This window comes from Homo sapiens, chromosome 15, assembly GCF_000001405.40.
Source record: "Homo sapiens chromosome 15, GRCh38.p14 Primary Assembly".
NCBI lineage: Eukaryota > Metazoa > Chordata > Mammalia > Primates > Hominidae > Homo > Homo sapiens.
The window spans coordinates 32,515,905-32,540,331 of record NC_000015.10 but is presented as its reverse complement, the minus strand read 5'-3'; the positions used below and the strand labels follow the sequence as shown (position 1 = coordinate 32,540,331).

Here is a 24,427-nt window from a genome sequence, read left to right as displayed (position 1 = left end):
CCCGCCACCACACCTGGCTCATTTTCGTATTTTTAGTAGAGACAGTATTTCACCTTGTTGGTCAGGCTGGTCTGAACTCCTGACCTCAGGTGATCCACCCGCTTCGGCCTCCTAAAGTGATGGTATTACTTCTGTGAGCTACTGCGCCTGGCCCTAAATCTATTATTTAAAAATCCACCTGTACAATTGGTATTCACAGAAATCTCCCATATATGTTATTATTTTATTCTCATAACTCTCTATGCCAAGTATAGATACATTATTGATGTGGAAAATTAGATCACAGAGATAAAGTGACTTTCCCAAGGTCAGTGCAGAAAGGGAAAAGTGAAAATTTGAAATTGTACCTGAAGAGTAAGAGCAAAGGGGTTAAGGAGTTATTCATAGATCTTTGTGCCTCAGAGGTCCTTACTGAGAGTTTTAATCCAAATGGTTTGGTAAATTTGGGGCGACAGGTATAACATGGCTTATGTGATGCTTAGAGTGTTTTGGAACCATCAAGATCTTTGCAATGGCATCACAGATAACAACCCCATCATCTTGTAAAACATGGACATGTTGGGAAACAATGTTTTAGTTCAGTCATTGAACTGACCCAAACTTCTGTGTTCATATTGTTATAGACCTCATAATTGTTAAGGTATAAAGAAGCATCAGAAGTTTTGTTTTTGTTTTTAATTACAAAGGAGTTAGGATATTCCTAACATCCAAAGTGAATTAAAATAATTCACTTTGATGTGAGAAAGAGCTTCTTGTCTTAGGGACACTGGTGAGGTGAATTCACAACTATGGGTTGTTTTAATTGAATTACATCCTCAGAGCTTTAGTTTTGAGCTCTGAATCTACAATCTGCATTTTGCAAGTAATCAATGGTATTTATTTAAGTGCTCTTGGTAAAGATAATGTGAATAGAGAAATCTGCTTATTTCTAGCATAAAATTGCTTATTAAGCAAAATAATAGAGCACTGCAAATTAACTAGTAAAAAATTGAAATCTTTAACTTTCACACCTTCATTTGATATTTACTGAATACTTTGGGGACTAGATTATATGTAATTTAGTTCAACTTTTGTTTAAAATAGGAAAATGAACTTTGAAAATAAGTACTTTTAAAAATATTTTAGAATGCAAGATAGTTTTCATGGAAACTTTCATGGAATCATATTCTTTATATTTTAGAATCAAGGTATGTTCCTACTTGGTACTTGATCAAGGAAATACCTAAATCAAGAACCATTCCAAATGGCTGTTTATTAAGTGTGATGGTTTACTAATGTCAACAAAAGTGAAAAAAATTATATTGAAGTATAAACTATAAATAATCTTGTTTAACATATTTATAAATACATTTTTGCCCATATTTGTATTTTGTACCTATTTATATAAAAAAACAAATATTATCTTTTGTACAAATATTTTAAGATCTGGCACTTTTTTAGCACCCCAGAAAAATATTTTTCAGGCTCTTAGCTGATGCTGAGAAAAGTCAGTCAGTCTCACATGTTACCATAGATTAATATTGCCTATCTTTGTCTTCATATAAATGGAAGCATACGGTATTTATTTTTTTCTGGCTTATTTCACTCAAAATTGCATTTGTGAAATCTATTTATGTTATGGACCAGTGTTTCATTCCTTTTTGTTTTGTGTAGCACCCTGTTGAATGAATATGGAGCTTTCCAATCCATTCTATCCTGATGAACATCCAGGTGTCTCTGTTGAAACTGCTGGTCATAAATTATGTGTTTAAATTTAGTAGATAATGATAATTATTTTTCCAAAATAGTTGTATCAACTTAATAACTCATTCAAATATGTGAAGACCTCCTAACAATCTAAAAAGATGGACTTCCAATTTCAAATAATAAATACAAAGATTAAGTACTTGAACAGGCAGTATATGCACATTTTTAAACATAAAAGATTGAGTTAAATTTTGAAAAATGTAGGCCGGGCGTGGTGGCTCACGCCTGTAATCCTGGCACTTTGGGAGGCCCAGACGAGCGGATCACGAGGTCAGGAGATAGAGACCATCCTGGCTAACACTGTGAAACCCCGTCTCTACTAAAAATACAAAAAATTAGCCGGGCGTGGTGGCGGGCACCTGTAATCCCAGCTACTTGGGAGGCTGAGGCAGGAGAATGGCATGAACCCGGGAGGCAGAGCTTGCAGTAAGCCGAGATTGCGCCACTGCACTCCAGCCTAGGCAACAGAGCGAGACTACGTCTCAAAAAAAAAAAAAAGAAAAGAAAAGAAAAGAAAAAAAAGAAACATGTAACTAAGAATCTCATTTGAGCTACATGTGTGAAAATATTTCTTTTACATTATCATATAACACAGATTTTGGATATGACGAGTGCTGAACTGAGGCTTTTCACTTGATATGCATTACAAATTAGAATTTTTCACTCACAAAACATGCTTATGACAGTTTTATATATGAATAGAATTGTAAAAATTGCCTTAAGAGTTATTGAATAAAATGTTTAAAGTACCTCATAGGATGAGGAAAAAATGGAAGAGTTAACAAGGATACAGAGCATAAAAGAGAAGAATAAGAGTTCAAATAAAATCGAATGAAAAGACACCATCTTGTGTAACTCTGTAGTTAATTGTGCATGTGTGCTATTTTTCATGACTTGGAGCACGTTATTTTTGGCCAAGAGTTTCCATTCTATCTATGGATATGCCAGAAATTTCCTATTTTAGATCTTCTAGTCTCCAACTCTCAAGATAAAAAACAAAAATCATTAAAACCTCTGACTCTGATATTGAATGCCTGCATAAAAATCTCCTCCCATCACCTTGCAACAGATGACTTGCTCATACACCTTTTTGACTACCACTCCCCATCAAGGGTTCTCTCCTTCGAGACTACAGTAATTCTCTTTGTATTTCATATTATGTGCAAACTTTACTTTCAAAGAGTTGTTACCTATATTAATGTACTTACATCATTCACCGAATATATTTTCTCTATCAGCAAAATTGGTTTAGATATCTTGGATTAGGATAGAACACGTCACAACTTCTCCCCCCTTTATGATCAGTTTTTTTTTTTTTTTTAGTCGGACCGTTTTTCAGTTGGTGACTGTCAGAAATGAATTAAAGTTTTAAGAGAAGAATAGGTAAGGGTAAAGAGAAGGGTGTCCTTATGTATCAACTTTGCTTATTTAGTTTTTTCAAGTTCAACAAGACCCTCCTCTCCCTTCAAGGAAGATGATTCCTAGGCACGTTTGTTACTTCTATCAAAACAGCTGAGTTTTTTTTTTTTTTTTCATTCATGTTGTTAAAATACCAATAGTGGAGCGAAAAATGCTTCACCTGGGACTGTCCCCTGACAGGCAGTGCGACGAGGTCAGGCCCGCGCCCGCCGAGTCCTAGGGCCGCTGCCGCCGACGGCCATGGAGGACGAGCAGCTCGACAGCCTGGAGGGCTGGGCGCCGGTCCGGCAAGGCCTCTTCGCCGATGCCGAGAGGCACCGGCTGCGCTTCCTGGTGGCGTGGAATGGCGCGGAGGGCAAGTTAGCTGTGACTTGTCACGACCTCACCGCGCAGCAGCCGCAGCGGCGCGAGGGGGCCCGGCTGGGGCTGGAGCCCAAACCCAAGGCCGCTGTGTCCCCGCCCAGCTGCCGTGTCCCCGCCCAGCTGCCGTGTTCCCGCCCAACTGGGCCGGCCGGTTCTCGGCCGCGGGGTTCCGCGGCGCGCGCTGGCAGCTAGCGGCGCTGTGGCCGCCTCTGGAACGCTGCTCCCCGCAGCTGGACGTGGGCGGCGGCGGGGCCTGGAGTCTGGGGCTCGGGCTGTGGGCGCTGCTCTGGCAGGCGCGCGCGGGCCCCGGCGAGGTGGCGCTGCAGGAGCTATGCGGGCAGCTGGAGCGCTACCTGGGCGCGGCGGCCCACGGCTGCGGCGGCGCCACCGTGCGCCACGCTGTTTTCGCGGCTAAAGGCCGCGCGGCTGACTGCGAGAGCCCGCGCGAGTTTCGAGAGCGGGCCCTGCGCGCCTGATGGGTCGAGGCGGACGCGCGGCTGCGTCAGGTAAGCGAGGCCGGGCCGCCGGCGTTTGACCGCGCTTGGGTGGCCTGGGACCCTGTGGGAGGCTTCCCCGGCGCCGAGAGCCCTGGCTGACGGCTGATGGGGAGGAGCCGGCGGGCGGAGAAGGCCACGGGCTCCCCAGTACCCTCACCTGCGCGGGATCGCTGCGGGAAACCAGGGGGAGCTTCGGCAGGGCCTGCAGAGAGGACAAGCGAAGTTAAGAGCCTAGTGTACTTGCCGCTGGGAGCTGGGCTAGGCCCCCAACCTTTGCCCTGAAGATGCTGGCAGAGCAGGATGTTGTAACGGGAAATGTCAGAAATACTGCAAGCAAACTGAAAACAACCCATCCATGTAGGAAAGAATAACACGGACTACACGTAAGCAATTCCAAGTCTGTGTCTGCGGGGACGTCGCAAGTGGGATAAAATGGTTTAAAGGAAGAAATGGCTTTTAGGAGTTAGGGTGTTTTGTTTTAAGTAATACAGACTTGGTCAAATGGAAAGCCGGTAGAAAGTGAGCTTTATTCATCAGTTTAACCGCATTAGTGCTCTTTTAAGCTTGAAAGAGGTAGTTTGAGAGAGTAATTGAGTGGTAAACTTACTGAACTTAGGGGACGGGGAAGTACATGTTCATAGAAGGGTTTAGGAGAAAGTATGCCTTCTAAATCCACACCCACGGTTTACTAAGCAGAGCCAGGCTGGAGTCTCAGCTCACTGCTCTTATTAACCTGAATGATTTTTTTCTGTGCATTCTTTTGAGGAAGGGGAGGTGAAAAGAAGAATTCAGCCTAAGCTAAATATAGAATAAGCTTTCTAAATTAAAATGGTTTTATAAAAGGAGCTTGTTAGTGGGGTCATTTTTGTACTGTGAGCTTTATGTGTAAATGTCTACACACCCACTTAACATGTGTTGATTTCACTTTAGACTATGAGGAAACCACAGGGGAGTTTCAGGCCAGTCAGCTTTTGATCTTCAACTTTATAACTTTCACCTTAGGATATGACGAGCCCACCGGAGTTTCAAAAATGGTATCATTTTGTATCAGACTTGTTTTTTACACTCTTGGTTTCTCACAGAGATAGGTGGTTTCTCCTTAAAATCGAACATTTATATGATGCATTTTACTGTAGTTACTATCAGAAAAGTTAGTTTTCCCAAATTTAAGTTCACTCTGGGGTACTATAGCGTGAATGTAGTTCATTCTGTTGAGCTAGTTGTTCATGTTAGTGTAGTTCACATATTTATCTGGAACTCAAAAATGAGGGGTTGAGAGGGGAAGCTAAAATTCAAAACATGTCCAAATATATAATTTTAATATTTTACTTTATATTTAAAATAGAAAAGCAATTGATTCTAGAATTAGACTAATTGCTAGCATTGCTAGCATATATAAAATGAAGCTGAATGTTTTAACTCTGGAATTTTTCTGAATAGTCTAAGAAATAAGGCTGAAGTGTATCACTTGCCTTAAGTTTACTTTTGCGTGTGTGTTTTAATTTTGTTCAGTGGGGCTTTCACTTAAAAAAAAAACCATAATATTATTACCTGGATAAAAAATACAGCTGAAAGTAGATCACTTTATCTTTAAGCAGAAGGATGGAAATAGAAGAATTTTAAGAATGTATTGGTTGAAAAACATCTATATTATTTTATTTTTATTTCTCTTCTTGTGGGAGTAAAATAATTTCCAACCAAATCAGTCCACCTAGATTATACACTGTTCAGTTTGTTTTCTGCCCTGCAGCACAAGCAATAACCAGCAGAGACTGGAACCACAGCTGAGGCTCTGTAAATGAGTTGACTGCTAAGGACTTCATGGGGATATTAACCTGGGGCATTAAGAGAATCAACATGCTAAAGTACTTGGAGACAGCTCTGTAATGTTTTATGAGGTTTTTTGTTTTTTTTTTTTTGAGACAGAGTCTTGCACTGTCGCCCAGGCTGGAGTGCAGTGGCGCCATCTCGGCTCACTGCAAGCTCTGCCCCTCAGGTTCACCCCATTTTCCTGCCTCAGCCTCCCCAGTAGCTGGGACTGCAGGTGCCCTCCACCACGCCCAGCAAATTTTTTGTATTGTTAGTATACACAGGGTTTCACCGTGTTAGCCAGGATGGTCTCAATCTCCTGACCTCGTGATCTGCCTGCCGTGGCCTCCCAAAGTGCTGGGGTTACAGGTGTGAGCCACCATGCCTGGCCCTTAGGAGCTTTTAAAAAGGAATACAGCCTCACAAAACCTTCACAGTCAGAAAAGTCAAATGAAAAAATATCCACACCTCAAACCTTCTTTTGGGTCCTTTTCGCTGCATACTTAGTGCATAGTTGAGATTAAATTTTGTACTCTGCCTCTCCATTTAATTATAAAAGTCTCCTTTTTTTTTTTTTTGAAACAGAGTTTCGTTCTTGTTGCCCAGGCTGGAATGCAATGGCACTGTCTCGGCTCACCGCAACCTCCGCCTCCCGGGTTCAAGCTATTCTCCTGCCTCAGCCTCCCCAGTAGCTGGGATTACAGGCATGCGCCACCACGCCCAACAAATTTTGTATTTTTAGTACAGACAGGGTTTCTCCATGTTGGTCAGGCTGGTGTCGAAGTCCTGACCTCAAGTGATCCACCCGCCTCGGCCTCCCAAAGTGCTGGAATTACAGGCGTGAGCCACGGTGCCTGGCCAAAAGTCTCCATATTATTAAACAATCTTCAGAAGCACAGTGCTGAATGACTACAGTAATAATATTCTGCCATGGATATATCATAATTTACTTAACAATTCTTGTTTTATTGGGCATTTTTGATGGAGGATGATGACATTTTCATATTTAATCAATATTTTAAATTGATGTATTGAAAGTTGAGAACATGAAGGTTTCTTTTGTTTAGTTTTGTTTGTTGGGTATGTATTACACTGTCTGACTTGAGCTTTATTCACATTTGCTCTCTAGGTTATCCAAGGACATGGAAAAGCCAACACCATGGTAGCATTAATGAAAGTTTACCAAGAGGAAGATGAAGCCTACCAGGAATTAGTTACCATGGCAACCATGTTTTTCCAGTACTTACTGCAGCCATTTAGGGCTATGCGAGAAGTTGCAACTTTATGTAAGCTTGATATTTTGGTATTTTTTTTAATTTTTATTTTATCACATTTACTATTTGTCATATATTATTTCTTTATTTACACTTAATGTTCAATCTCTGCACTTTGTTTGGGTTTACTTTTATGTTTCTTTACTTATTTATTGATAGAGATGAGGTTTTGCCATGTTGCTCAAGCTGGTTTCTAACTCCTGAGCTCAAGCAGTCTGCCCACCTCGGCCTCCCAAAGCGTAGCATTACAGGCGTCAGCCACTATGCCTAGTTCACCCTCATGTTTAAATATTGAATTTATATTTAAAATTGATAGAAAATGAAGACATTTATGTTGGTCATCTTACTAGCTTAAGATTCCTGCAGATTTTAAAGAGTTAAGAGTTTTTTTGTATCGATGCCTTTTTTTTTTTTTTTTTTTTTTGAGATAGGGTCTCTCTTTGTCAGCCAGGCTAGAGTGCAGTGGCACAATCTTGACTCACTGCAACCTCCTCCAGGTTCAAGTGACTCTTCTGCCTCAGCCTCCTGAGTAGCTGGGATTACAGGTGTGCACTACCATGCCCAGCTAACTTTTTTTGTATTTTTAGTAGAGACGGGGTTTCACCATGTTGGCCAGGCTGGTCTCAAAACTCCTGACCTCAAGTGAGCCACGCGTCTCAGCCTCCCAAAGTGCTGGGATTACAAGCGTGAGCCACTGCGCCCAGCCTGATGAATTGTTTTTGATGTGATATTTATTTGCTTCAGTTTGTTTTCCTCTAAGGACTCATCCAAATTTCTTAAAATAGGATGAAAATTTAAATAGCAGGACCCTAGATTGTAATTCAGTAACTTAAATTTTAGTAAATGCTGTTATCGCTCTTGTTTCATTGAGCCATCAAACAACCGTGTGACCCCATTCAGAAAAGGCATTCTTATTCCAGTGTTACAAATGAATCTGGAGTCCAGAGTTGTTAAATATCTTACCTTGGGTCTCAACAACGGGAATCAGAAGACACCTAAGAGATCTCTTGATTTCTGCCCCCTGCACTGGGCCATCTTTCCACATATAATCTCATGCCCCCTGCCAGATGATTGTACTATAAAAATAGTATCACATTTAGATGAAACTCATGCCACTCTAACCTGTGGATAAAGTTGTTCTGTTCATTATTTTGAAAGTCTATTATTTGGAGAGTCTACTTCTTGCATATATTTTGCTTTCTTCTTCTGTTTTTTTTTTTTTTTTGAGATGGAGTTTCGCTCTTGTTGCCCAGGCTGGAGTGCAATGGCGTGATCTCAGCTCACTGCAACCTCCACCTCCTGGATTCAAGCGATTCTCCTGCCTCAGCCTTCCGAGTAGCTGGGATTACAGGCATGTGCCACCATGCCCGGCCTGGCTAATTTTGTATTTTTTTAGTAGAGATGGGGTTTCTTCACGTTGGTCAGGCTGGTCTTGAACTCCTGACCTCAGGTGATCTGCCCACCTCAGGCTCCGAAAGTGCTGGGATTACAGGCATGAGCCACCGCACCCGGTCTATATTTTTCCTTTCTTTAAGTAACAGCTGTTTTAAGATACCATTCACAGATTATATATATATATATATATGTATATATATATGAATATATGTATGTATATATATGTGTATATATGTGTATATATGTGTGTATATGTGTATATATGTGTATATGTATGTGTATGTGTATGTGTATGTGTATGTATATGTATGTGTATATATGTATATATAAAAGATGTACAATTCAGTGATTTTTAGTATATTGAAAGTTGCACAATGGTCATTACTATGTAATTTCAGGACATTTTCACCTCCAAAAGAAACCCTGTACCCATTAGTCACTCCCAACCCTGGGCAACCACCAATCTACTTTCTGTCTCTGTGGATTTCCCTACTCTGGACATAGCAACAGCATTATTGAATATGTGGTCCTTTCACTCAGCACAGTGTTTGCAAGACTAATCCATGTTGTAGCAAATACCAGGATTTCATTTCTTTTTATTGCTCAGTAATATTCATTGTATGGATATATTGCATTTTATTCATCAGTTGATGGACATTTGGGTTGTTTCCACTTTTTGGCTATCATGAATAATTCTGCTATGAATGTTTGTGTGTGAGTTTCTGTGTAGACATATCTTTTCATTGCTCTTGTGTACGTACTGAGGAGTAGGATTGCTGGGTCCTGTGATTACTCAGTGTTTAACCTTTTGAAAGACGCCAGATGGTTTTCCAAAGTGGGTGCCTCATTTATATTCCCAAAAGCAGTAAATGAGGGTTCCAATTTGTCCACATTATCACCAACACTTGTAATTGTGTGTCTCTTTGGTTACAGCCATCCTAGTGGGTGTGAAGTGGTATCTCGTTATGGTTTTGATTTGTAATTCCTTGTCGGCTAACTTGTACATATTTCTTATGCTTTGTAGAAGAAAAATTGCATATTGGATGACATAGCTGTACATGTCTTAGTTCAGGCTGTTATAACAAAGTACCGTAGATTAGTGGCTTATAAACAACAAAACTTTTTTTCTCACAGTTCTGGAGGCTGGGTAGTCTAAGATCAAGGTGCTGGCAGATCCAGTGTCTTGTGAGGGCCAGTTTCTTAATTTGTAGATGACTGTCTTGCTGTGTCTTCACATGGTGAAGAGCAGAGAGAGAGATCCTGTGTCTCCTCTTCTTTTTATAAGGGCATTAATCCCATTCTTGAGGGCTGCACCCTCATGACCTAATTACCTCCCAAAGGCCCCATCTTCAAATACCATCACACTGGGGATTTAGGCTTCAACATATGCATTTTGGGGGGACCCAAACATTCAGTCCAATACCAGTGCATGTTATAAGCATGAATATACAGATACTGTCTTTTAGGTGATTATATTACATATCCCTAAAAGAAACGATAACAACAGCTAACACTTAAGTGCTGTGTTCCAGGCCCTATGCTGAGTGCTTGACAACACAGATCACTCATTTAAACAATTGTGTATTATTATTAATAGAGAGAAGCATAAGTTGACAACATTCCTCTCTAGAAAAAGTTATTCTAGGCATGTGAAGTGAAAGTAGGTTTTTTTTTTCCCCTTTATGCCCCAGAGTGTCCTTTTGTCTTCCAGGTGGTGCTCAGCTTAGAGCCTTATTCATATGCAGTAAGGGACTGCTGAATGAATGAAAATTTAACTGACTGAGTAGTACTGTAGTTAAATTAATCCATGTGACCAATTTCCTTTCAATTTCCTAATGGGTCAACATAACTATTAGCTCTTAGTAAGATAATTTTCTCTTCTGTCTGTAGAATTCCTTGGATGAGGATGACGTAGGTCCTACGTCTCCAGGATAGTTGCCCTGGAGAAAGAAGCTGAAGAATGGACCAGACGGGCTGAAGAAGCTGTTGTCTCTATTCAAGATATCACAGTGAATTATTTTAATTAGACAGTAAAAGCATTAGCAGGTGATAATCTAAAAAATGCTTTACGCAGATACGTGTAATTGATTGTCATTTTATTCATATACCATTTGAGTCCCTCTTACGCACTAGGCACTGTGTTTTCTGGGTGGCAAGAATTCAGTGTCAAGCATCAAGAGACATTGTACAGTCTGGTGAAGGGAGAGAAATCTTAATTATCTATTCACTGAAGCACATGGAAAATGGCAGTGACAATAAATGGCACAAAGAAGAGAGACATCGGGCTCTCAGGGTCTGTGAGAGAGAAATTGGGCTTGATCAGGGTGGTCGCTGAAGGCCTCTGAGAAGTGGTGCTTGCCCCAATAGCTGAAGGGTAAACGGAAGTTGAGAGAATAGAAAAAGTGAGGAGTGTTCCGGGCAGAAGGAATAGCACTGGTAAAGGTCCCCTGGCTTGAGGGAAGTTGGCAAATAGGAGCTTACAGAAAACCTGCAGGGCTGGATCACACAGAATGCAGGACAGTGTGGCACGAGGGAGAATGCTGGCAAGACAGGCAGGGATCAGACCGTGCAGGGGCTTGCGGGCTGGGTGAAGGACTTTTTTTCAGTCTTAAATAATTGTTAATAAAAACACCAAATAGGAAACAACTTAATGTCTGTCAGTTTGTTAAGTTATGGTACATTCATAAAAGAGAAAACTACATAGCTATTAAGCATGATTCTTGATTTTTTTTATAAATGGCAAGAGTGTCTGATATATTGTGCAGAATCAACAAGATATAAAGCAGAATGGTAATCCTGGTTTTTTGGTCAAACTATCCATATGAGCCTGTCTGTCTAGCTAGACATAGAAACAATATGGAAGCAAGTGTGCCAAAATATAAGAAGCAGTTGCCTCAACTAGGTGAGATCATGACTTATTATTGTCCTTTTAAAAATTGAATACCTAAAATTGTATATTAATGACCATGTATTATTTTTATAATAATAAAAAAGTTAATAAAACAAAATTTCTTTTAAAAAAGATGTTCTGCAGGTAGTATGGAAGCAATAAAAAAAGAATTAGCTCATGATCAATGTTTCCCTTTTTAATGAGGTGTAATTATATTTTATTTTCATAATCCAACAGGAATGCAAAAAGAAATGGAACAGGATGTGAAGAGATTTGGCCAGGCTGCCTGGGCCACAGCAATTCCCAGGTTGGAAAAACTTAAGCTAATGCTAGCTCAAGAGACTCTGCAACTCATGAGAGCGAAAGAATTGTATTTAAATCGCAAAAGAGCTGAAATTCAGGGAAAGGTAAGACAAAGATAAACGTAACTTTGTTTTAAAACTACACTTTTATTTTATTTTATTTATTTTTTTATTTTTTTTGAGACGGAGTCTCGCTCCTTTGCCCAGGCTGTACCGCAGTGGTGCAGTCTCGGCTCACTGCAAGCTCCACCTCCCGGGTTCACACCATTCTCCTGCCTCAGCCTCCTGAATAGCTGGGACTACAGGCGCCCACCACCACGCCCAGCTAATTTTTTGTATTTTTAGTAGAGACGGGGTTACACTGTGTTAGCCAGGCTGGTCTCGATCTCCTGACCTCGTGATCCGCCCGCCTCGGCCTCCCAAAGTGCTGGGATTACAGGCGTGAGCCACCATGCCTGGCCCCACTTTTATTTTTTAAAAAGTTTGTGTAAATAAGGGATACAAGTACTGTTTTGTTCCATGGATATATTGTGTAGTGGTGAAGTTTGGGCTTTTAGTGTAATCTTCACCTGTATAATGTAATTGTACCCATTAAATATTTCTCATCCTCCCTCCCACCCTCTTACTCTTCTGAGTCTCCAGTGTCTATTATTCCACACTGTGTGTGTATACACACTACTTAGCTCCCACTTATAAGTGAGACCATGTGGTAAAGCACACTTTTATTTTTAGATAGCACTTTTCTTTCCAGGCATCGTTAAAGAGCTTCTTTTCTTCACTTATTCTAACACTATCTTCTATGGAAGGTTAGACATAAAGTTTTCCTTTAGTTAAGATGTTTCAAAATACCATATTATAGGATTTACTTTATAGTAACACCAAGCCCAGTATTGAAGTGGGTACTGTACTTGAATATCAATCCAGCAATGTTTTCAGTACAGCTTTAAAATAATCAAAGAGATACTTCACTGAAGGATCATAGACACTTAAGTTTTTTCCTATAATCTTATGACCTTAAAGCAGAAAACACTGTAACCACCTGTCTTAGTTGGCTAAGGCTGCTATAACAAGATTAAATATCACAGATTGGGTGGCTTCAACAACGGACATGTATTTCTCACAGTTCTGGAGGCTGGGAAGTCCAAGATGCCTGCAGATTCACTGTCCGGTGAGGATCCTCTTCCTGTCTGGTAGACAGCTGCCTTCTTAACTGAGTGCTCATATAGCCTTTCTTCTGTGTGTAAGTTTAGAGAGAAAGAAAGTGATCCCTGTCTTTCTCTTCTAATGGCACTAATCCCATGATGGGGGTGCTATCCTTTTGACATAATCTGAACCTAATTACTTCCAAAGGACCCACCTCCAAATAACATCACATTGGGAGTTAGAGTGTCAACATATGAATTTTGTGGGGACACCAATATGCAATACATAATAATACCTCATTGCCATTTATGTTTCTCAAAACCTAAATGTTTTTCTGTTTCAAGGATGAGATAAAATATTAGCATCACTAGATGAAATGAAAAAGTGTTTCTTTCCTATTTGCTTTTTTATATTTAGTATTGAACAAGGAATAGAAAATAGCTAGAATGCTTCTGAAGTTTGTTTTTAATATACTATTTATTTTAACTTATTTTTCTTTTTTCTATGAAAATAAGATGGAAGATCTTCCAGAACAAGAAAAAAATATAAATGTTGTAGATGAATTAGAAATGCAATTTTATGAAATTCAGTTAGAACTATATGAAGTTAAATTTGAGATATTAAAAAACGAAGAAATACTGCTTACTACACAGTTGGACTCTCTTAAAAGACTTATAAAAGGTAAAGTTTATATTTAAGTATATAGATAACAATGTTTATAAATTTAAGGAAATACAGACCATATTATCAATTACTTTTTGTAAACTGTAACATCTGAAAATTTCCTAAAGTTTTCCTTCAGTAGTTTATTATTCAAATAATATATTCATTGTTAGCACATAGCAAAACAAAGAAAGAAAAATGATTATTACTTCAATCCCATCATCTAGAGATGCTTAGTGTTTGGCTGGGCACAGTGGCTCACGCCTATAATCCCAGCACTTTGGGAGGCTGAGGCGGGCGGATCACTTGAGGTCAGGAGTTCCAGACCAGTCTGACCAACATGGTGAAACCCCATCTCTACTAAAAATACAAAAATACTAAACCCTGTCTCTACTAAAAATACAAAGTCCGATGTGGTGGCACGTGCCTGTAATCCCAGCTACTTGGGAGGCTGAGGCAGGAGAATGGCTTGAACCCGTGAGGTGGAAGTTTCAGTGAGCCAAGATCGTGCCACTGCACTCCAGCCTGGAAGACAGAGCGAGACTCCGTCTAAAAAAGAAAAAAAAAAAAAGAGATACTTAGTGGTAACAATTTGCTGTATAACTTTGTAGATTTTAAAATATGCTGATATATAAAAATATAAATTTTTAACCAAAACTACATAACCAGTTCAGTAACATCTTTTTAAAAATTTTTTAATTTTTATGGGTGCATAGTAGATATATATATTTATGGGTTACATAAGATATTTTGACACAGGCATACAATGCATAATAGTCTCTTTTTCATTTAATACATACTAATTGTCTATTTCAGAAATAATAAAAGTATCAAAATTTTAATGGCTGCATAGTATTCCATTATATGGATATACCGTGATTTCCAAATTTCCGCTGTTTTGAACAGTAGTGTAGTGAACTTTCCTTTACACATGTCTTTTTGAGTATAGGACAGATTATCTCCTTAGAATAAATATCTAAGGATGGAATTATTGGGTCAAGGACAATGTATATTTTACATTTTGCTACGTAATAATACAACAATCATCTGAGATACATTTTTCCTCACCTCCGTATTATTTTCTGATTTCTAAATTTCATACTATGTAGTGGCCCTCTAGATAGGTTGTACATTTAAAATGACGCTCCCAGGCTGGGCGTGGTGGCTCAACGCCTGTAATCTCAGCACTTTGGGAGGCTGAGGGGAGCAGATTACTTGAGGTCAGGAGTTCAAGACCAGCTTGGCCAACGTGGTGAAACTCTGTCTCTACTAAAAATACAAAAATTAGCTGGGCGTGGTGGTGGGTGCCTGTAATCCCAGCTACCTGGGAGGCTGAGGCAGGAGAATCGCTTGAACCTGGGAGGTCGAGATTGCAGTGAGCTGAGATGGCGCCACTGCACTCCAGCCTGGGCGACAGAGTAAGACTCTGTCTCAAAAAAAAAAAAAAAAAAAGACGCTCCCATCAGCAGAATATGAGTGTGTATGTTTCCCAGACTCATGCCATTTTTTTGCATTTTTGCTTGCTTGACAGAGAAAATGGCAGTCTTCCAATTTTCATTTATTTAATTATGAATGAATATTGAACAAAATTTTGTATGTTTACAAGCCATTTGTACTTATTTTATGAAATGCCTAGTCATAGTCTTTGTCCATTTTTCTTTGGAATATTTCCTTTCGACATTAAGAATAATATTCTCTATTGTCTGTCATATGTTGCAAATAATCTCTCCTTGTCATTTGCGTTTTCTTGCCTTTCAGAAATATTTAATTTTTATGAAGTCGTGTTTATTGATTTTTTCCCCTATGGCTTCTGCTTTTAGTATTATGTCTGGCAATAGGCTCCTATCCCAAAATTATGTCAATATATACTTATGTTTTCTTTCAGTATGTTTATGATGTTACTTTTTAAAACATTTAATTCTTTAGTCCAGGTGGAATTTATTTTGAATGTGGTAGGAATTGAACCTTTCCCTCAAATTGTTAAGCAGTCCCAATCACTGATTTTAAAAACATTTTCCCTAAATGTTTAACATTTCTCCAGTTAAGCATTAGATTGACTTTGGTCTGTTTCTGAGTTGTTCTCCTCCATTGGTTCGTGAGTGGCTTCTGCTGCTGGCTCCATACTGTTCCCACGACTGTCTTGGAGGCACATTTTAGGGTCTGGTAAGGCAAGTACCCCCCACATTACTTCACAAGTTTTCTGACTATTTTCACTCCTTTATTCTTCCAGATGAAATTTAGAATCAAGTTCAAAACAAAAAACTCTTTGGAATTTTGATTGTGATTTTGCTTAAAATTAGAGATTACTTTGGGGAGAATAGTGGTCTTTGCAATTTTGAATCTTCCTACCCAAGAACATGGTATGTCTCTCTCCATTTATTTAAATCTTTTTTCCTAAAGTTCCTCCAAGTTTAATAAATTTCTTCACATAGATCCTGAACTTTTAGTTTAATCCTGAGTATTCAGAATTTTTTTCAGTAGTTTCAGGTTATAAGCAGTTTACATATTTAGGAAAAAAATTACATTAAAAAAAGAAGTTAATCTGGAAGGATGCATGCCAAATTGTTCATAATGTTTTTCCTCTGAGAATGACTCAGAAGGTTTGGGGAATGAGCAATAGAATTTCACTGTTTATTTGATGTACTTCTGGAGGGTTTGAATTTGTTACAGTAAGCATGACTTTTAAAAAATCAATATGTAATCAAGATTAAATATCACTAAGGCATCTTAATAATATATTGCTGGTAGAATATAAGTTGCCTTTCTGGAGGGCAGTGTGGCAATGGGTATCAAGATCCTTAAACACTTATCTGCTAAGGAAGTGATAAAAAGTGTACACAAAGATTTATACAGAGATGTTTATCACAGTGAAATGAATAATAATGGAACATTGGAACAGCCTAACAACATGGATTGCTTAAATTAGAGAATACTATGCTGCCATTAAAATTTATCTTTTTAAATTTTTTTTTATTTTTGGAGATGGAGTCTTGCTCTGTTGCCCAGGCTGGAGTGCAGTGGCACGATCTCGGCTCACTGCAACTTCTGCCTCCCAGGTTCATGCTGTTCTCCTGCCTCAGCCTCCTGAGTAGCTGGGATTACAGGCACACGCCACTGTGCCCAACTAGTTTTGTATTTTTAGTAGAGATGGGGTTTTGCCATGTTGGCCAGGCTGGTCTTGAACTCCTGACCTCAGGTGTGCCGCCTGTCTTGGCCTCCCAAAGTGCTGGGATTACAGGCGTGAGCCACCGCACCTGGCCTAAAAATTTATTTCCATCCCATGGAAAATGTTCTTTTAGAACTCCATTGATAAGTGTAGCTATGTAAGTAGTATGTGTATGTGCGTGTGTATATATACGTATGTCTGTACAGGTATATATACGTGCATATACTACTTACATGTATATACACACATGCTACTTAATACATGTGTATAGTCATGTATATATACATGTGTATATGTATATTACATTTATACACATACATTTTTTATATGTTAATAGTGATTCTCAGTGGTGGGATTACAAGTGATCTTTATTTTCCTTACATTTAAAAAAATTGAGTGCATTTTTACAAATAATAAAATATGTTTTAAACAATCATTAATACCTTTTTAGAAAAACAGGATGAAGTTGTCTATTACGATCCATGTGAAAGTCCAGAGGAACTTAGTCATTGACTGTGGTGGGGCTGCAGGACGATAAGAATTCGGAAGTGAAAGAACTCAGAAGGCAGTGCCAGCAGCTGGAGTCTGTTAAACGGGGCAGTCTGTGTCAAAAGAGCTTCTCTCCAGAGTAGAAAGGTAGGTACGCTCAGAGCGGCTTTCTTTTCTTTTCTCTTCCAGAGATTTATTCTTGTATGAAGGATAAAGAGGTATTGAAATAAGGTTTTTACCAACACAGTGATTAATTTTTTGTGTGCTTATGTACTTATCCATGGCTATAGTTAAAATGATTTTTAATATTTTTCTTAAAAATATTATTTTTTTCTTTTGGGTTTTAAGCATTTAGCAAATCTCAAGGTTTTAATTTATTCATTTAACAACTATTTGTTGAATGCCCACTGCATACACAGGCACTTTTATTTTTATTTTTTTGAGACAGAGTCTTGCTCTGTCACCCAGGCTGGAGTGTGGAGGCAAGATCTTGGCTCACTACAACTTCCGCCTCCTAGGTTGAAGCAATTCTAGTGCCTTAGCCTGCCAAGTAGCTCGGTTTACAGGTACGCGCCACCACGCCCAGCTAATTTTTGTATATTTTGTAGAGACGGGGTTTCGCCATGTTGGCTAGGCTGGTCTTGAACTCCCGACCTCAAGTGATCCGCCCACCTTGGCCTCCCAAAGTCCTGGGATTACAGGTGTGAGCCACTGCCCCTGGACCACAGGTACTTTAAAAACCACAATAGGTAGAAACTCTATTTCTAATAACCAACTATAACAATTCTAAATATATTTTACTGTAAATTATTGAGTACACAAAACAATAACAGGTAACTATTCAGCTCACCTCAGATTTAATACTTAAACATTAAAGAATATCAACCTACTTGCAAGAAACTTAACAAAACCTAAGGAACATAATACAAATAAAACTTTACCTATGCAGATTATAAGCTGGATATTATAATATCCAGGAAAATATCCAGGATGTTAGAATGGCTTGAAACAGAATTGAAAATTTTTGAGCTATAAGACACATAGGAGAAATTTTAAGTTCATTTTTTTTGGGTGAGACATTTATTAGTCTCAACAAGACTGAATGATTTTCTTTTAAGGTCACACATTTAAATAGTTAACAGGAGAAATACCAACCAGAATCATAGTCAAATACCCACCTACTCCCTTTCCAAGACAACTAAGGTCTCAAATTGCGCCCATTTTTCTCAAATTATTTCTAGAATATTTAGCAAAAGAGGCTTTTAATTTGGCATGTCTTTGTCTACAATTTTGTAGTTTATGTAAAGAAAGGTAGACTAAGGGAATTTCATTTTAAAGGTGAGAATCAGAATGACATTTGTGAAGCTATGATGCCTGTGCCATCTGGCATACACGAGGGTGTTGTACTAAATGGGATCAGAATGAGCTCCTTTTGGAAGGAAACCTTTAATAGACTGGGAAACATTAAGGGAATCTTCCCTTTTTTATTTATTTTATTTTATTTTATTTTTTTTTAGATGGAGTCTCACTCTGTCGCCCAGGCTGGAGTGCAGTGGCGCAGTCTCGGCTCACTGCAAGCTCCGCCTCCTGGGTTCACGCCATTCTCCTGCCTCAGCCTCCTGAGTAGCTGGGACTACAGGTGCCCGCCACCACACCCGGCTAATTTTTTGTATTTTTAGTAGAGACGGGGTTTCACCGTGTTAGCCAGGATGGTCTCCATCTCCTGACCTTGTGATCCACCCGCCTCAGCCTCCCAAAGTGCTGGGATTACAGGCGTGAGCCACCGTGCCCAGCCTCTTATTTTTAATAGAGCATTGGAAAATGAATTCTGTATACCTGGCTAATGAAGGAAATCCAGATTCGTTGCCAAAACCAAGTTTTAAAGGAATTTGCAATCCTTCACAGTTCATTCAAGGAGGCAATGGAAATTTTGATGAAGAAATTTTTTAAAATCTTTCTTAAAAGGAGTCCTTACATTGGCATTGTATCATGACTAAAGTCTTCCTCCCTCTCTCCCTTCTATGCTTTTTGTTTCTGTTTTCTATCTTTCAATGACATCAGTTTCATGGATATAAATGGTTAAAAGACAATGATTACAACACACAGTTGAGTGACACAAATCTTGTTGTAGTGTTAGAAATACATCAATACATTGGGATCATAAAGAGAAATGGCAAGAAAAAAAATCTTAAGTTAATAACAGAAAATGCTGATTCCCACAGTCCGTGTAGAAAATAACACGTTTTTTTTTCTGTCAGTGGAGATAACTGAGACTAGTTAATATTGTCAATTCTGTTCCTTCTGACTGAGCCAGGTGAGGCAAAATTTAGCATATGAGTTGAGGGACAAAACTATTACCTTGGCAACATAAAAATTAATACTGTCTACATTGTTTACTAGGAAATGCATGCAAAATTAATACACTCTTGGTAGTACAGGTTCGTTTCACTTCTATAGTGTGTGGTTAATAGAAAGCTGATTCAACAGACGATAGATTCAACAGACGATGTAGAATTGTCTAAAATCCAGCCAGGCGCGGTGGTTCACGCCTGTACTCCCAGCACTTTGGGAGGCTGAGGCGGCAGATCACAATGTCAGGAGATCGAGACCATCCTGGCTAACATTGTGAAACCTCGTCTCTACTAAAAATACAAAAAAATTAGCCGGGAGTGGTGGTGGGCGCCTGTAGTCCCAGCTACTCGGGAGGCTGAGGCAGGAGAATAGCGTGAACCCAGGAGGCGGAGCTTGCAGTGAGCCGACATCGCGCCACTGCATTCCAGCCTGGGCGACAGAGCGAGACTCCATCTCAAAAAAAAAAAAAGAATTGTCTAAAATTCATCGTCGGTGAGTCCATGGCATGTTTTGGAATTTATTCACTTGTTTGCCTCAGGAACAGTAGCTGTTCAGATTTGTTCTGTCTTTGATTTTGGAAATGAGGTTACCGTGCTCTGTAGTGTGAGGAAGATGACATGGCATAATTAGGCAAACGGCTAGGCATTTTCTCAGCAGTAAATTACCAGTGCCCTTACTTGCCATGATACCCACAACAGGCAGAGGCAGTTTCCTGAGGCAATCCAGGCCACAAAGAACTGTACATTTGGGGAAAACATATCTTCAAATATATATGTTAAACTCTAAAAAATTGGTTAGTATGTATTACTTTTGTGGATACTTAAACATTCCCTATGCATAAAGACCTAGTTAAAGAGATGCAGGCTTTTGGCATGTTAAATAACTCCTTGATGAGAAATCACACTATGAATAATAAATATGACTTAATAAAAATGAAAAATAATGAGATTAGTTACTATTGAACTATTCTTGCTTAGAATGCCCCTGAATTTCAGTCATTGAAATTCACTTGTACCTGGGTAAGTTACAAGTTCTTATTTGTGCTGGTTTCTGTTCCATTGGCAATTAAAATTTTGGTAAGTTGAATAAAAGATCTTTCTAAAAAGGGAGTTTTTTTTTTTTTTTTCTTTTTTGAGGGGGACGGAGTCTCGCTCTGTCGCCCAGGCTGGAGTGCAGTGGCACGATCTCGGCTCACCGCAAGCTCCACCTCCGGGGTCCATGCCATTCTCCTGCCTCAGCCTCCTGAGTAGCTGGGACTACGGGCGCCCGCCACCACGCCCGGCTAATTTTTTTTGTGTTTTTAGTAGAGACGGGGTTTCACCGTGTTAGCCAGGATGGTCTCCATCTCCTGACCTCGTGATCCGCCCTCCTCAGCCTCCCAACGTGCTGGGATTACAGGTGTGAGCCATCGCGCCTGGCCAAAAGGGAGTTCTTATATTGGCAGTGTATCATGATTAAAGTTATCCTCCCTCTTTCTCTCCCTCCCACATATATATTTTCGTGTCAGTATATGTATATGTGATTTGTGCTATTTGTGTGTGTGTAGGTAAATGAAAGTGGCATCAAGAGAATCTCACATTAAAAAAAATTTGAGATAGTACAATTCTTATGCATCATATGTTGCATAACGTTTGACTATTAAGAAATTTGCATCACACGTCTACTTATTTCATTAAACATGTTACAGTCAATTAATTCACTTACACCCTCCATTTCCTTCTTCCCCCTCTCTCGTTCTCCTGCTGCAGGGTCATTATACGTTCCTACTCACAAAATGTCCTTGTTTTTTCCCTTACTCCTGTCATTGATCTTCTGAATCTTTCCGGCGAACTTAACATGGATGTTTTGATAGAAAGCTCTGGCATTAACTCTGGAGTTGTTTTGCAAGGAAGGTTGTTCGCTTTTTCACCATTTTTTTTTTTTCAGGTCCTTGAAGTGTTTTCACATAGATATTTCACAAGAGCCATTTCAGAATTGAGAACATTTGGCGTGCACTCTTCCTCTTTTGGTCCCACAGTTTTTATGTGTCCTACTTGAAATTATGTTTGCTCCCGTTTCAATTGTAATATTGCACTTACTCATTAGTTTTTAGTTTGAACTCTCCTGCGAGGTCTAATGTAGAGTTTGGACAAGAACACAGATTCATAATAAACCTACCCAGTCAATTTGGTATAAAGGCTTAGAAGGTGGAACTGGCCACATTTTGAATTGGAGGTAAGGATCAGGAATGCTAATGGAGAGACATAGGATTTTCTTATGGAAACAAGAAACAAATAACCTCTGGGCAGTATTAGAGCCCAGAGAGTGATAAGCCTCTTCTAACTTCAATATTCTATGTACAAATTCACAAGACTTTTTTTTTCTTTCTTTTTTTTGAGACGGAGTCTCACTCTGTAGCCCAGGCTGGAGTGCAATGGCGCGATCTTGGCTCACCGCAAGCTCCCCCTCCCGGGTTCACGCCATTCTCCTGCCTCTGCCTCGCGAGTAGCTGGAACTACTGGCGCCCACCACCACATCCAGCTAATTTTTTTGTATTTTTAGTGCAGACTGGGTTTCACCGTGTTAGCCAGGATGGTCTGGATCTCCTGACCTTGGGATCCGCCCGCCTCGGCCTCCGAAAGTGCTGGGATTACAGGCGTGAGCCACCGTGCCCGGCCGAGACTTTTAATTATGCAATGCCAGACTGCATTGCATAAACCAAAGGCCAACAGAGAGGTGACCTTTCAAATTACTGGCACAAGAAGAGCCGAGATCAGAAAGCTCCAACTTAATGCAAACATCGACAAGAAATCCGACAGAAATGACTTCTGTGTCTGGTCAACTTAACATAACATGACATATTGTCAAGCACATTTGGCTTTTTAGGTAGAATTGTCTATAAAGGTTTAACTGCTTTAGAAAATATAAATGTGAAGATTTGTGGTATTTGGGTTTATATATAAGATATTTCTACATTGAAAAGAGACAGTGGAAAAGCTTGGTATAAGATTTGTAAAATATGTTTGTAATAATGCTAATGGAAGAGGTGAGATTTGGGTGGGGTGGGGTGTAGATGGGAACATGGTTTGGGGATTGGGGAAAGGGAAGTCATGCTGTTAATAAAATAGTGAGGCATGTTGTATAAAGTGTGTTTTATGTCTCAATTGAAATGTTATAGAGATAAATTTAAAATAGATCATGATGGGTTTTGAATCTGATTTCTAATTTTAAAATGTTATGAGCTTTTGTTGCTTTCCTATTTCATACACATTTCTTTATGGGTTTCACTTAGACTGCATGAAATTGCAGATGCCAATTACCTTTTAACAAAATTAAATTCACATATATGTATAATTTACATGTATATATTCATGGAATTTTTTATTCTACACGATATATTATTTTAAAATGGTTTTTCAATGACAAAATAAAAAGTATTTTTCTATACTTTCAGTTTTCTGGTTTGAATTTTTTCTGGCAACACTAATTTTCACCTACCTATACTCATTGATAGTATAAAATTGTACAAGTGCATATTTTACCATGTTTACATTTGAATGGATGACTGGAGGTACATCTATGATGACTAATACTTTCTAAACACATATTTACCTCTCATATATCTGTGTAAATGATTGTAAGAGGAAGGGGAAAATAGAGATGTATCATTAGGTATACTGTCTTAAAGCACATTCAGCTGCTCTCATGTTTGGAGAATTTTGAATGTGATGAATGTTTCTCTTTCACCGCTAACAGGTTGTATGTGTGAGCCACATTTTATTGCAAGTGTTTGAAAGGCCATTGCAAATATGGGATATTGCCAGACAGTAAAAAGCAAATTGAGTCTATTGAGAAATTAATTCACCAGCTGAAGGAAGTACATTTGCCTTAGAGTCATCAGATATTCTACCCACCAGACTCATCTCCGAGATAGCATCCTAATGAGCTTCCTAAACCAACTAAACATGAGCAGGAAGCATCAGTCGTCAAAACTGACTCTTTTCAGCCAATCAGCTGACTGCACAAACTGTATGGCATTGAGGAAAGGAAGAACATTCTGAAAGTTTTTTTCTTTTTTCATTCTGTCCTCATTCTGTTGGTTTCTCAGTTTTACGGATGCAGGATCATGCACAGAACCCTGTAAATGAGCATAGTTCGTTTAAGTATATAAAGTGCTTTCGGTGGATAAAATGAATTTTAACAGGCTTAAGTGATGTGCCTAAATGCACACAATTAATGCATGGCTGGAATTCAAAATCATGTCTTTTCCTCTGTTCTGATTGTTTTATAAATATGGGTTGTTTTAATGTGTGGCTGGAATTCAAAATTGTGTCTTTTCCTCTGTTCTGATTGTTTTATAAATACAGGTGTAGTGATTGATTTTCTACCCACCATGACAGGGAATAGGTTCAAAACTTAAAACCCTGTTTGTTTTATAATTAGGTAGACTCAAATGACAGGTCAAGGCAGGGAGGGGAGCCAGTCATTTTTACTCCCATATGGGTTTGCTCCTTCAAAGACAGGATTGGGGTAGCAGTGTCAGTTCCTACAGGTTATAACGATCTTAATGATAAACTTAAATAACCGTAACTGAATACTTATAATGTGCTAGCACTTTTCATAATGTATCCCAATAATACTCACAAAACTTTCCAAATATTACCTTTTTGTTGTCTTTGTTTTATTTTGTTTTGTTTTGAGACAGGGTCTCACTCTGCTGCCCAGGCTTTAGTGCAGTGATGCAATCATGGTTCACTGCAGCGTCAAACTCCTGGGCTTAAGCAATCCTCCCACCTCAGCCTCCCAAGAAGCTGAGACTACAGGCATGCACCACCACTCCCAGCTCCAAATAAATATTCTTATCCCATTTTACTGATGCAGAAAAATGTATGGCCCAGAGAAGTAATGTTAAGTTTATTGGGGGATTTAAGTTGTAAAAA

The 24,427-nt window shown here is 39.1% G+C and overlaps 1 long non-coding RNA gene and 1 pseudogene across 2 annotated transcripts in view; one reads left to right on the top strand and one right to left on the bottom strand.

Moving 5' to 3' along the window:
- Positions 1 to 3,573, bottom strand: part of LINC02256 (long intergenic non-protein coding RNA 2256) — a 43,851-nt gene extending 40,278 nt beyond the window's left edge. Inside the window, exon 1 of the long non-coding RNA NR_102756.1 lies at positions 3,326 to 3,573. This is a non-coding gene — a long non-coding RNA (long intergenic non-protein coding RNA 2256). The remainder of the gene's footprint in view (positions 1 to 3,325) is intronic.
- A 3,017-nt stretch (positions 3,574 to 6,590) lies between these two features.
- On the top strand, positions 6,591 to 20,484 carry WHAMMP1 (WHAMM pseudogene 1; annotated as a pseudogene). The gene is made up of 7 exons (NR_036650.1): positions 6,591 to 7,120; positions 10,394 to 10,549; positions 11,631 to 11,800; positions 13,354 to 13,519; positions 17,119 to 17,303; positions 17,765 to 17,790; positions 20,151 to 20,484. The product of NR_036650.1 is annotated as a WHAMM pseudogene 1 (transcript).
- The last annotated feature ends 3,943 nt before the right edge of the window (positions 20,485 to 24,427 follow it).